Source organism: Homo sapiens, chromosome 5, assembly GCF_000001405.40.
Source record: "Homo sapiens chromosome 5, GRCh38.p14 Primary Assembly".
NCBI lineage: Eukaryota > Metazoa > Chordata > Mammalia > Primates > Hominidae > Homo > Homo sapiens.
The window spans coordinates 17,806,922-17,821,984 of record NC_000005.10 but is presented as its reverse complement, the minus strand read 5'-3'; the positions used below and the strand labels follow the sequence as shown (position 1 = coordinate 17,821,984).

Below are 15,063 nucleotides of genomic sequence, written 5' to 3'. Positions count from 1 at the left end.
TTTGCTATACATAAGGATGGGAGATTATGTTATAGCAAGCACTGATGAGGCTACAAAAGGAACCACTTGTTCTGCTTTGTGATTTGAGAGTGAATGTGAAATGCAATGGTCTATTGGCTAGCTCACCTGATGTTTCTTGTTATTTGTAAAAATATGGTAGAACTAGCAAAGAAGAGAAACATTCCCAAGAAGGGCACTCTGAAGGTCAGGCAAATTTTTCCTCATTGCCTGAAGTTATTTCCAAGGAAAAATGTTTCAAAGGTGTGAAAAACAGCAACTTTTGTATGAATTATTACTAAGTGACATAGTCATAGAATAAGAACAGTCTAAGTTTCATTCCTTTAGACATTAGGGAGATTTTTAAAGATACTCTGGTTGTTTTGTCATCCTATCTTCTGATATTTTTCCAGCTTTCATTGTTAAGGTATTAAACCCTGATCCTGCTGTCAAATATTATTTCTATATCTCAAGAATATAGGGTTTTGGCTAAACTAAATAATATCAGCTAATTTAACAAGAAATCACCAAATTCGTAGTGATACCTTATAATAAACAATTGCAGGCATTCAGTAAGCAACCTCCCATGCAATGATTAACCGCCCAGAGTCCCTCTAGTCTACTGTACTTGAATCTCTGCTCAAAATCGGGCTAATAACCTGGGGAAAATGTTGGGGAGGGTCTTGCAGAAAGTTTTTTTTGAGCAAAGTCCAGGGGTGGTATATGTAACACTTCAGTGCCCATGCCACTGACCATAACTCATGGTTACGGTGTTGTAATGGAAGCCAGTGGGTTAGCTTCTGTCTCACAATTTGGGGGAAATCAGGAGTCTAGGCACGGCTTACCTGGGCCCTCTGTTCAGAATCTCACAAGGCTGAGATAAAGGTTTTGTCTAGACTCCATTTTCATCTGGAAACTCAACTGGATCAGAATCTGCTTCAAAGCTCTCTCATGTTTGTGCCAGAATTCATTTCCTTAAGGATGTATGACTGAAGACCCCAACATTTTTTTCTGGCCATCAGCTGGAGCCTGCTCACAGCTTCTAGAAGCCACCTGCAGTACCTTGTCAGATGGACTGCCTCAACATGGTTGCTTACTTCATAAAAGCCAGAAAGACAAATACTTTCTTTCTCTCTCTCCCTCCCTCCCTCCCTCCCTCTCTCTCTGTCTCTCCCTCTTTTTCCCTTTCTCCCCCTCTCTCGGTTGCTAAGTGAGAATGATGTAACGCAATCATGGAATCACAGGAATGGAATCACAGAAGTGGCATCTCATCATCTTTGTCATATTCTATTGGTCAGTAGCAAGTCATAGGTTCTACCAAGGAGTTTTCACTAATAACAGTGAGATACACAGAGTAGTGATCCAATGAAAAGAAATGGCCATGAAACAAATATTCAAAAGAATAAGTACGTCATACAAACTCTTGCTACAGAAGGAAAGAATAAAGTGTTCTCAGGACATGTAATAGAGGGAGACATCTGGTAGCATTGAAGATATCCCCGGCAAGGATGAGATTTGAACTGAAATATGAAAGAAGAGAGAGAGTTTAATTAAACAGCATAGAGAAGGGAAAAGTGAAAAATTCTGAGAGTGAACTGTATCTTCCAAAGCTCTGTGGTAGGATAAAAGCATGGCACATTTAAGAAATGGAAGGAAAGCCCGCGTGTCTGAAGGAGAGAAACAGAGGGAGAGGAAGGTCAAGGCACTGGATAAGGAGAGCAGACCCCAGGTATTTCAAGGCTTTCTAGACCTGCTGGCTTGATGCTAAGAGTCATGGGAGGTCATTGAAAGGTTTTAAAAAGGAGAGTGACCCAATCAGATCGTATTTATATGAGATTATTGTGCAATTACTATACTAAAAAATGCACTTTTGAGCATTTAATCCCAGAAGTAGGAAAGTTTAGCCACACAAAAACCTGTACATAAACATTGATAGCCGATTTATTTGTAAGACGTCAAAACTGAAAACAACCCAAGTGACCCTCGATGGGTGACTGGTTAAACAAACTGATGTATGCATACCACGGAATATGATGGGATATGAGTCAGCAATTTAAAAAATGTGAGCTATTGAGACACACAACTATTTGATTGAATCTCAAGGAAATTATACTAAATGACAAAAGCCAATTCCAAAATGATTTCATTTATATAACCTTCTTGAAATGAAAAAATTATAGAAAAGTAAGACAGATTAGTGGTTGCTGGGGTTTAGGGATGGGGAGAAGCAGGTAATGGGAAAGAGGTGGGTAATTATAAAGAGGCAAAAAGAGGGATCATTGCGGTGATGGGGCTGGTCTGTATTTTGACTGTAGTGGTAGATGTAGAAGCCTACGTATGTGACAAAACTGCATAGAAATAAATACACATATACACACACACAAACACGTGTTCACACACACACAGGAGCAGAAGTCAAACTGGAAAAATCTAAACTGGATTGGTAGATTGTATCAATGTCAATATCTTGCTACTGAAATTGTTCTATAGTTTTGCAATATATTACTATTGAAGGAAGCCGGGTAAAGAGTACAAAAGATCTCTTCATGGTATTTCTTACAACTGTGTGTAAACCTACAATTATTTAAAATATGTATTTTTTTAATCTAATTACATACAGTCATTGCAATGGCCAAGAATGGATACTAGGAGAAGAGTCAAGGGGCTTTTTTAGTTGTTCAGTGGAAAAATGGTGATAGCTTAAACCTAGAGGTTGAAGAAATGGGGACAAATTAATACATTCAATCATGATTTAGGATGAAAAATATATTTGGTTTAGTAATTTGGGAGCTGGAATGAGAGAGAGAATTATCAGGAGCTGCCCTAATTTCTTAAAATATAGCATTAAAAGTTTTCTCACCTTCATGATTTTGCCTAGGATCTCATTGAAAAACTGTCTTCTCCGCATCTCATGCTGGCGGAAAAGACTCTCTCTAAATACTGGGATTTAGTGTGTACCAGTCTCATAGCCCTTATCACTGTGACCTTGTGTTTTACATCTTTGTATACCTACCTTAGCTCTCTGATGATAGATAGTAAATTTCTTAAGAGATTATGTCCAATGAAAGTGTATAGTCCCTATGACAGCCAGCACCGGGCCTTAGACATCAGTAGCATATTTTTAATGAAATACTGTATGTATGTGCACATGCTAGGAGTCCATGTCCCTGCATAACAATTTTATTTGGTGCTAATTAACTGCAACAAATAAAATTACAGAAGAAATTAGGACTATTCTTCTGGCTGTTGTGTCTGACTTTTGGTGGTCTGCTAAAGTGTTTATTTAGATCAGAGTTCATTGACCCTAAAGTTGAAAAGGTGTTTTCGGGAGACCTTGTCATTTATTATCTCATTTATGTTTATAGAGTTGAAGTGTCATGCGGCCTTGCTGTAGACCTGCGTGCCAACGGTGACAGAGAAGGAAATAGTGACTGGGTTGCCCAAGAGGTGATTTACTTTGAAGAGCATCTGGTTAGGAGGAACTCATCTCAGTGAGGGATAAAAGTTGTTTCTAACTGACTGAAAGCAAATCATTCAGGATTTTCTGGTACAAAACAATATGAATTTATTAGCAGATCGATGGTAAGTTTGAAAACACATGAGGACCCTGATACAAAGTCCTGATAAGACCAAAGAAGCTAAAGCCAAAGAAATCATTGCCATCCCTGCATATTTGAGCCATGCTCATTCCATGTCATGAAAACACATTGTGAGAGAAATTACATATCCACAGTGAAGTCTCTTCTTTATAAAAAGCATATTTTTCTTATTTTAACATGAGAGATGTTTGAGAGATGCCAGAAGAATGTTGCAAACACTGTGAGCAACTAAGAAAACTATGAAAAAAATTGTTAAGAAAATATTAAAGGGCAATATCAGAATATCATGGGGTGTTGCTACATAGACCAGTGGTTTTAAATCAGGCTGCATATTAGAATTACTTAAGGGCTTTAAAAATCAAAACAACCAGACACAAACCCCAAATTTGAATCAGAGTACTTGAGATAAGACCTTTGCCTTTTTTATCATTTATTAATATTGTTATTATTATTATTATTATTAAAACACCCCAGGGATTTCTAATGTGCAGTAAGGTTTGGGAAACACTGACTTGGACCAACAGGCAGATTAAAAATTTTAAAATGCTGCATTTGGTCCAGAAAAATATTTTCCTCCATTTATCATTCTCTCATCTTTCCTAAATAATAGGTTCCCTGTAGATCAAATGTCATGAATTGCTACCTTTTCTCTTTGCCAAGAATTCCAGAAGTTCAGGATGAAGAATAGATCTCTCCATAATTGTTATTTGACTCAAGACAAGGAAATTGTTAGAAATATAAGTATTCCAAAGAAAGCTATACCATCAGATGCAGAAAAAGAAAAAGAAACCCAAACTTCAGTTTTTTTTTTTTTTGTCTGTTCATAGTCCTAGATCCCAACATGAATATGTCCCATCAAATGGATTTGTTAGCCTGGTTCAAAAGTGACAGCATAGTCATAAGGATAGAGCTCATCTTAACCCACTTTTTTGGAAAATGATTGTAAACACAGATGATTTAAGGAGGTGCTGGGTACATTACTTTCCAAATAATGTAAACAGTGTCTTAATGACATCCCTAGACAATATTCCAAAGAGCACTCCATCACATAGTGCCATTATAGATTTGCCTCCAAACGATGGAAAAGACCAAATCTTTTAAACAAAGGAATCAACCAGCATCAGGGCATGGTGAGACCATGAGCAAATAACCAGAACTCTCCCAAGATAAAAGGCAGAATGACAACCTTTGAATCACTAGACACCAGATGCATTCTGAGTAGTACCAAATTCCTCTGATGTGAACTAGATTAATACCATGAGTAATCACCGCCAAGGTTAGCCATTTATCTCTTCTATGTTGCTTGGGAAAGCTTTGAGATGTGAGAGAATAGAGGTAGCCTGAATAAACTTGGTAGCAGTAAAATGGGAAAAAGCTTAGGAATTTATTATACCTTTGATATGTCTGCATTCTTCCTTAGAAGCATAACTCATAGTTAAAAGTTAATTCATTCAGTATCTCTTGAATCCTAAATAAATCCTTCGGCAGGATAGGTGTGTGGGGAATACTGAGATCATTTACAAAGATTCTGTGTCCTTAAATAACTCATATTCTGTTGAAGAAGTGGGAAAAAAAATTGATTGTGAAAGTATCTGCATGATTAAACCTTTGATATAGAAATGGAACTAGAGGTTGCCAGGTGTCAGCCCCAGCGGAATGAGGAGGAAGGAACCATGAAATACAATAGTCTTGGAATTGCCTCAACCATTTGTTGTGATATAGTGTTCCCCTGAGTAATCTTAATCAATGTTACACAGTTCAATTTTATAGCAAAGAAGTCTCTATATCAAAAACTAAAGACAGGACAGAAACATTACCCACACTGTGTGTGTTCTCTCAACAAAATCCTGGTCAGTGTGATTCAAAAAGGAAGAAAGTCCCAACTGTGAGTAAACCTTTGGAAGTCAGAAGTTCAGCCACAGAATCTGGTCACATGCCTTGTCCAAGAAGTCTGCTTTTGAATCAGTTTGCACTATTACCATCATCACTTGAGGAGGGTCTTCTGCCCTAGTTGTCCAAGTTACAGAATATATTATCCATCCAGTTCTGGCCAAACATGAACAATTTGCCTACTGAAAAAAAAAAAAAAAAAGCAAATACGAACAAATATTGTTGATATATTTGAAACAAGAGAACTAGATTTTTTTTTTGAAAAAGCATATCTATGGGAAGAGTGGAAGAGGAAATTGATTCTTGCAGGAAATTTCATATCCTCGAAGAGATTCTTGCTAAGCATTTTAGTAGTAGAGATATCACTTAAAGAAAGGGTTCATCTAGCAGTGATAAAAGAGTGACTACTGGCTGGGCGCGGTAGCTCACGCCTGTAATCCCAGCACTTTGGGAGGCCAAGGTGGGCGGTTCACGAGGTCAGGAGTTCGAGAATAGCCTGACCAACATGATGAAACCCCATCTCTACTAAAAATACAAAAATTAGCCAAGCGTGGTGGTGCACACCTGTAATCCCAGCTACTCAGGAGGCTGAGGCAGGAGAATCACTTGAGCCTAGGAGGCAGAGGTTGCAGTGAGCCAAGATCGCGCCACTGCACTCCACCCTGGGCAACAGAGCGAGACTCCATCTCAAAAAAAAAAAAAAAGAGTGACTACTAAGTAGTTAATCTAAGAAGTAAAACCCAAATTTGTTTTCAATACTAAGAAAATCCCCTTTAGAGAGATGATGGATTTCTGAAGTCTTCGTTATTCATGGTAGCTGCAGCACAAGATCCCAAGATATGGATAAGGACCTGGAGAGCCAGGCAATTGTAAGACTCTGATCACCTATCAAATTGGCAGACACTTTAAAAGAATTTTTGGCAACAGTGCAGAAAGAAAGTAATAATCTTGTAAACTAATGGCAGAAATGTGGCAACATACATTAAAATGTTAACATTCCTATTTTTGACCAGAAAGTCCACATCTGAGAATGCATGCTATGGAAATAATCAGCAAATGTGCAAAGATATTTGTAGAAATGTACCCATCCTAATGTTGTATGTAATTTAAAAAATTGGAAATAACTCAATGACCATAAGGAGATTAGTTACATAAATTATGGAAGAGCCAAGAGAAAAACAGGTGGCCATCAAAGAGCAAGATGAAAATCTTAACCTGTTGTGTACATTAAAAGATGTAGATTATATTTTTACAATCAAATAAAAATGCTTATACTAGATAGTATGAAGAGTAAACAGAGAAATCTCCAGAGGGCATCAATTTAAATATTAAAGAATATGTAATAGACTGAGTGTGGTGGCTCATGCCTGTAATCCAACACTTTGGGAGGTGGAGGCAGGAGGATCACTTGAGGCCAGGAGTTTGAGACCAGCCTGGCAACCTATCCAGACCTTGTCTCTACCAAAAATTTTTTAAATTGCCCAGGTGTGGTGGAGATCAACTGTGGTCCCATCTACTTGGGAGGCTGAGGAGGGAGGATCACTTGAATCCAGAAGATCAAGGCTGCAGTAAGCTATGATTGCACCACTGCACTCCAGCCTGAGTGACAGAGCAAGACTATGTTTTAAAATAAAAAAAGCCCAAAGGGGGAAAAAAGGAGAGGAAAAATAAAAGATGTATAATAAAAGGTTGGCAATAATTATCACTGGGTATAGGGCATATAATCTTGAGATACTTTATATCTTTCAATACGTATTTCTATATTTATTTTCTTCATTTTGTATTTCTATATTTTCTTTAACATTTTAATAAAAATGTAACATTTTATCACTAAAAAATGAAAGGACTATTCCTATTTTGTTAACTCTTAAGTTAACAGGCTGAAATTTCAGATGTTTTTATAATGGCTGTATTAATTTATCAGTGCTTATCAGAGGTCAGAAACAAGGAAGGGGTTAGAAATCCTGAGTGCCCCATCAGTTAGGAATCAGCAATCAGATTGTAAGGTTAAGAATTTCACAGAACTTCAAAAGCACAGGCAACGAAAGTAAAAACAGAAAACTAGGATTGCAATAAACTAAAAGCCTACTGCACAGCAAAGGAAACAGAGTGAAGAGACAACCTATGAAATGGGAGGGAAAATTCTCAAAACACACATGTGATAATGGGTTAATATTCAACGTATATAAGAAACTCAAACAATTCAGTAACGATGAAACAAACAACCCAATTTAAAAATGGGCAAGGAACCTGAAGACATTTTTCAAAAGAAAACATACAAATGGTCTATAGATATATGGAAAAATATTCAGTCTCTCAAATCATCAGATATATGCCAATTAAAATGACAATGAGATATCACCTCACACCTATTAGAATAGTTATTGTGAAAAAGATGAGATAACAAGCATTGGCAAGGATGTGGAGGAAAGGGAACTTTTGCACATTGTTGGTGGGAATGTAAATTAGTACAGCCGTTGTGGAAAAAAACATGGAATTCCTCAAAAAATTAAAAATAAAACTACCATATGATCCAGCAATTCTACTTCTGGGTATATATTCAAAGAAAATAAAATCAGTTTTTTGAAGAGAGATCTGCCCTCTCATGTTCATTGCAGCATTATTCACAACAGTCACAATATGAAATCCACCTAAGTATCCATCAATGGATGAACGGTTAAAGAAAATGTAGTGTATGTACACAATGGACTATTATTCAGCCTTAAAAAAGAAGAACCTGCTTTTTGCAGGAACATGGATGAACCTGGGGGATATTATGCTAAATGAACTAAGTTAGGCACAAAAAACCAAATACTACATGATCTCACTTATGTGTTGAATCTAAAAAATGAAACTTACAGAAGCAGAAATTAGAATGTTGGTTAGCCCCCAGGGACTAGAGGTGCAAGATGGAGATTAGGAAAATTTGAGGAAAAGGATACGAAATTTCAATTGGATAAGAGGAGTATTTCAGGAGATCTATTGTACAACATGGTGACTACAGTTAATAGCAATGCATTGTACATGTAAAACTTGCCAAGAGAGTAGATTTTACCACACACAAAAAAATGATAAGTATGTAAGGTAAAGCATATGTTAATTTGCTTGACTCAGCCATTCCAAAGTCGTAGCATCAACATCCCCAAGCCTTCAGAGTCAGCCTCAACTCTCTCCCTCATTACTCCACCGGTACTATAAATTCCGCCTCCTAAACATTTCACATATTTCTTCTCCACTTTCCACCTTTACTGCCACTACCGTGGTTTCAACTTTATTATTTCTTTAGGTTATTTCACTAGCCCTTCAATGGCCACCAAGTCTTACATCAAGCTAACCTCCCTCCTGATATGCATATCTAATCACGTCATTCCTCTGTTTAAAATTCTTCATGGGGTTCTCATTGCTTTCAAATTCTTCATGGCCTGTTCTTACCTTTCCAGACTCAGCTATCCTTACATCCACACATATACTGCACTCCTGTGTCTCCTAAAAGTATTTCCTTCCTTTTGCCTCCATTCATTTGTTCATGATTCTACTGTTAAGATTCATCTTAGTAAAAACCCACTCCAGAGACAGTGGAAAATTAACTGAGAGTTCCTCACAGAGAAGAGAACTCCATAGTAGGAGAGTCACTATATGGGAAGCCGTAGGTCATGTAATCCTGTAGAGGACAGGAATCATTTTTGAGTAAAATCAAGATCAATTAAGCCATATGGAAGTTTATGGCAAAACAATATTACTCATAAAGAAAACAAAACAAGGGGAGAAATAGAAGTTAATGGTGGTTCTGATGGTCCTGGGGCTGTGCTCGGTGGCTCATGCCTGTAATCCCAGTGCTTTGAGAGACTAAGGCAGGAGGATTGCTTGAGCTCAAGAGTTTGAAACCAGGCTGGGCAATGTAGTGACAGTGAGATCCTGTCTCTATTTATATATTACATATATAACAAAATAGATATATAAATATTATATATATTAATAGATATGTACATATTATATATAATATATAGATATATAAATAGGAAGGAGGATTAGTTGAGCTTATGAGTTCCAAACCAGGCTGGGCAATATAGTGAGAGTGAGATCCTATCTCTATATATATTTTTATATATATATATATATTTATATATATATATTTATATATATATATTTATATATATATTTATATATATATATTTATATATATATTTATATATATATATTTATATATATATTTATATATATATATTTATATATATATTTATATATATATATTTATATATATATTTATATATATATTTATATATATATTTATATATATATTTATATATATATTTATATATATATTTATATATATATTTATATATATATTTATATATATATTTATATATATATTTATATATATATTTATATATATATTTATATATATATTTATATATATATAAAATCTCTTTTATGTTATCAGGATCACTATTTTTTGTGTGTATGTATATATATGTATATACACACACACATGCACACATACACAAAAATTATGTGTGTGTCTGTATATATATGTATATGCATACAAAAAATAGTGATCCTGATAACATAAAGTAAGAAGAAATAAAGTTTAAAAAAGAGGCCTTGCCCAGTAATTCAAACTTGAGACAATAAATTGGAAGTTAGTTGTGGTAAGTTGCTTTTATTTAGAAACTGGCTCAAGGAAATGAGGGTAAAACCAGTGTAATTGCAGAGCACAAGCTGGAGTGGCTGGAGAGCTCATAATGATGCTTCCAATGGTCACTTCTACCAGTCTCTTCGGCCATGGTTGACTGATCTAGTGCAGAGACATATGGCCCAACCTAGATAAAAATTCTCTCTTTGGAATTTACAAAGTAGAACAGGCACAACCAGAGGCAAAAGACAGAGTGAGTATAGTCCATCATGGAAATGACTTAATGATTTGCTGCTTCTGGCCTCTCCAGCACAACCTTGGTTGCCTTCCCTCTGGAGGTTTGGTCTGGATTGTCCACGGTCCACCACCAAATATCCTTTGTGACTTGAGTACACCAAAAGGTCTTCAAATTATTTGAGAACAAATCAAGTTAGAGATCAATATGTTTAATATGAGTTCTTCTGTGTGAAAATAGAGAGGTACTTAAAATTTAGATTTAAAACAACAGCAGAATGAATCCTGATCCCATGAATGTGTTGCTTTCCAATGTTGGTGGGAAGTGCCCGCGGACTTCATGCCTGTAAGCTGCTCTCCTGATTGGTGCTGTGGCCTCTAATGGTCATCAAGCAACTTAATCATAGGTGTTGCAGAAATACGCAATAGAGATGAGGAGACATCTGGGAGGATTGCCATTCTTTGAGGGGTAGGGTGTGTTTGAGGCAAGTGTTAGGGACAATGGTCTGTAGTACAAAGCACTGAGGGTGATTCAGATTCAGTGTGAGTAGATGCTGGAAGAATCTCTCCATTTGAAAATACTTTCTAATAGATCCTTCAACCCACAGGTGCATTATCCTCCATGACAGTACTTAACCTACAGAGACCACTGACTGCCTTATATGTCTCCCTCACAAAGCTGAGCTCATGGTACAGAGGGACTGCATGTTCATCTCTGGGTGCCCAGCGCTGAGCAGAGTACCTCATACAAGAGAGACCATAAATGTTGCTGAAAGCACATTGAATAAACAAGGGCACCAGAACACTATTTGGAGCACAAAAGTAGTATTTTAATCTAATCTAGGTAAATGTGGAAGAGAATGGCAGAGGCAAATAAAGAAAATAAAGGTGTTTCTCAAAAAGCAAATAGAATGCCTTTGCATAACATTATTTTTCAGACTGAAAATAATTGCCATATTCTTCTAACTTTCAGACATTACATTGATGCTGGAAATAGGAGAGAAAAAAAGCAAATTAATCATGCTTGTAGCAAATGCAAGTATGTGTTTTCTTCTTTTGTCAAATCCCTGTATTCTAGAAGAATAACGTCTCTGTGCTCCTCCTGCATGTTTGTGATGTCTAGTGAAGTGTTAATCTTTAACTACAGCAGGGATCAATCACAATGTGCTTAACAAAAAAACATAATCCCCCTGCCTTCACACCATGTAAAATATTTGCACTGCTTTATTGGACACTGCTAACTGTACTTTTTAAAAACTGTCTATTCATGATTTGGCCGTATCTTAAAATTTTCCTGTATCTATCAATGAAATGTGTATTTGAAAATATGATTTCCACCTTTGAAATCTCAGGATGCACAATCACTAGAAAATAAGAAACTAGGGTAAATCTAATTTCACTAAGGTTTGTCTACAATCAAAACATGAGCTTAATCTCTAACGGAGGTCCTAGCGGTCCTGCAGTGGATATCAGCAGGATGTTATTCTTCAACTACAAACAACAAGTAAGATCGGTACAGAATGGGAGTTTAAGGTTCAGTTTCAATCAGTTTCTCTAGTACTTATAGAAGGATAATAAAAAGTAGTGTCAAAGAAATTGCCATGTATGATAAGGCTATTCCCATAATCTGTACAAAAGCTCCAGCACTACAGTGAATTTGGCAGAGCCTAGAGTTGCATTCTACTTGTCAAAAAACAAAACAAAACAAACAAACAAAAAATAGAACAAGAGCCCTCTTAGAGGCTTAATTTTAATGTATCAAAATATCATCTTTTTTTTCTCCCTAATACTCCAACGTTCAGAAAGGATATACGTCATTATTATAGAACTTTAGAGACACCACCGCATAGTGAGAAAGTATGCCTTTGGAATGAGCTACAACTCAATCTAAATACCAACTCTGCTACCTTTGGCCTCAGTCTACTCACCTGTAAAATGAGATAAATGATATCCATCTCATTGAGTTGACATGAGAAATGAAGCAAGTGGGATAATATGTAGAATTCCTAGTATAAGGTGACTATTTAAGAAATTTACCTGTGTGGGAGGCTAACTGATTTCTTCTAATGCATGAAGATATGAAATAAAAAGGGACAACATATAAAGGAAGAGAGGAAAGACAAGAAATACGGATCACAAAATATAAGAAAACAAATATCCTGGGGTCTAAATGTCAGGATTAAACGCCTGCATGGATTTCTGATGGTGTTCCCATATTATAGGGTCGGCCATCCCTCCATGACTCCTTGGGCCCTGTGGCATTCTGAAAATGATCACTTAGCCCCTGAATTAATGGCTTTATGGATCTGATAACAGCTTTGCTAACTTGTGCTCTTTCTTGTGCCATATCAGACAGAGTAAAAAAGGCCTGATGGAGATAACAGCTGGAATAATTATAAAAATACGTTTTCATCCACTGTCTTAGAGAATCTATGTTTTTACATATTGTCTTAAACTCCACTTGAAAAATATTTTCAATCTTTGAAAATATCTGAGATTGAAAATGTTTTTCATTTTTTATTCATTATTGTGCACATTCCTCCATTTAACTGTTATGTTTGTGCCTTTAAGGTCTGGACCTAAGTTTTTCAAACATTTGGAAAATATCCTGTATAAATAAACAAATATGGTAAGAGTATTTATTAATTGTCACTAATCTCATCATCTTGACCAGGAACTTAAAAAAGAAAAGAAAGGAATTTTGTCTCATTGATGCCCAGAGGAGCACTAATGAGTTATGAAACCTTTCAGAGTCATAGAGCAGAAGAAAAATGGTTGCCTAGGTAACAAGGCAACCCAGTCAGCTGCATACACTCTCCCAAGAGCATCTAATTTATTCAGCAAATGCAGGCTAGAACAGGTGGCTAACTTAGATGAGGCCAACAAGCTCTAGCTCCCAAACAACGGCACCCGCCACATTTTCTTGTACACAAGTTTCATTCTTGTCCCTTATAAAGGAAGAGTTAACAAGGTGCATTTCAGTGTGGCTCATAACACTTTAGGAGAGAGAACAGCTATCTGCATTTGTCACTTAAATTTTCTACCAAAAAAAGTATATGATTTCAAGAAATGGTTGAAGCCAACAACTTAATTTTACTAGTTATCTTGAAAACAGAAATTGTCCTAACCCCAGTTATAAAAATCAATTATTCATCTTTTAATAAATCAAATATTTTTGTGAGTGTTAATAGCAAGAACTTATCACTAAATTTTACAATTCTTGATTTAGATGATAAATAGCTGCTGAAATTCCAGTTCATTCAGGCATCTGAAAGCAGTTAGGTATTTGTAACAAATTTTATATTGTCAAAGGGGTAAGGGAGGAATAATACCAAGCTAGGCTCTATTTATTATAACATTAAATTTAAAAAATCTGAAAAACTAGCAGTAAAGTATATACTTATTTTTATATTAAGTAAGAACTTTTATGATCCAGGCCCAGTTTCATTTTCTGGCCTCCTGTCGAAACACATTTCATAATATATCCTAAACTTCATCAACAGAAGCCAAATGAAATCTCTTCCTCACCTCTCTGCACTTAGTATTTGCTGTTGTCTCTGTCTTGGGACTTCTAGGACTAGATTCCCTGTTCAGTTCTAATCCATGTTTCAAGGATAATATCGGGCATTTTCTTTCCCCAAATGCCTTCCCTCACCTCCCCAGGAAAAAATTATAAGCATTTCCTTGTGTTTCCTCTGCAAGTGATTCCACTGTTTTATTTCCGTATCTGCTTTCTTCTTCAGATTGAGTCCCCCAGAACTTAAATATGTTCTATTCACTTCTTATCCCCAGAGTACCTGAAACAGTAGAAAATCAAAGATATTTGACAAATGAATGAACAAATGAATACATGAATGAAATATTCTTTAGTGACACAAAAATGTGCATAAACCTAAGATATGACAAGACATTTTCAGAAATTAAAAAAATCTCACTAATGTGGACACATGAGTAATGAAGTGTGTTGCATGAGGAAAGAATCTACATTTTTTAGTGAGTGGAACCTTTCCCTCGAATGAAGCCATAAATGCAGCATCTCTTTTTAAACCTGATATCAATCCATCTCCATCCTGCTGTTCCTGCACAATCCCACACTCAAAGCATCTACCAAAAACCACAGATCTCCAAGAGCCAGAGCTTGAAAAATACTGGGCTCGACTTATTACACATTCAATTTTGCCTTGCTACTGCCCACTAAACAGAAATCACATAAGCAAACATTTGTTGAAAAGGATATTTAAAATAGAAGAGAGCATTTGCTAGGAAGTTCAGGTCTTGGTATTTCTCTATTGATCTGCTTTGAAGTCTTGCCGTTGTTTCCAAAGGTGACCCTTGCTGAGTGAGGCTGTTTCCTTAGCAACAGGATGACTGCTTCCAGCATGTAGAGAACATGCATCTCTGTTTCTGTGGTACTCAACCAACACCCTGAGACGCTATGCTGCTTCAAAGAAAGCAAGAATCTCTCCTTTTTAAGTACCAGATTGGCTCTCCAGCCTGTGAACTGCATATTACTCTGGAAAACTAGAAGTAATGATAATTGTCCAGAAATAATTTCCTCATCTCATAAAAAGGACACAACCTCTACACTGATGCACTTTTATTCTCCCTGCCTAATTACTCCATATGTCTGCCTATGCACAAGCACATACACATACATATGCGCACACACACACACCATTCTTTCTTCTTTGCTTTTTTTTTCATTTTCTG

The 15,063-nt window shown here is 36.2% G+C and overlaps 1 long non-coding RNA gene across 2 annotated transcripts in view; it reads right to left on the bottom strand.

Moving 5' to 3' along the window:
- Positions 1-14,711, bottom strand: part of LINC02223 (long intergenic non-protein coding RNA 2223) — a 123,216-nt gene extending 108,505 nt beyond the window's left edge. The window contains exons 1-2 of one of the 2 annotated variants that reach the window (NR_134286.1): positions 14,591-14,711; positions 10,436-10,533 (exon numbers count right to left, since the gene is read on the bottom strand). This is a non-coding gene — a long non-coding RNA (long intergenic non-protein coding RNA 2223). Of the gene's footprint in view, positions 1-10,129; positions 10,830-14,590 lie in introns of those variants that run through there. The other variant, NR_134287.1, reaches the window with a different exon arrangement.
- Between the last annotated feature and the right edge of the window lie 352 nt (positions 14,712-15,063).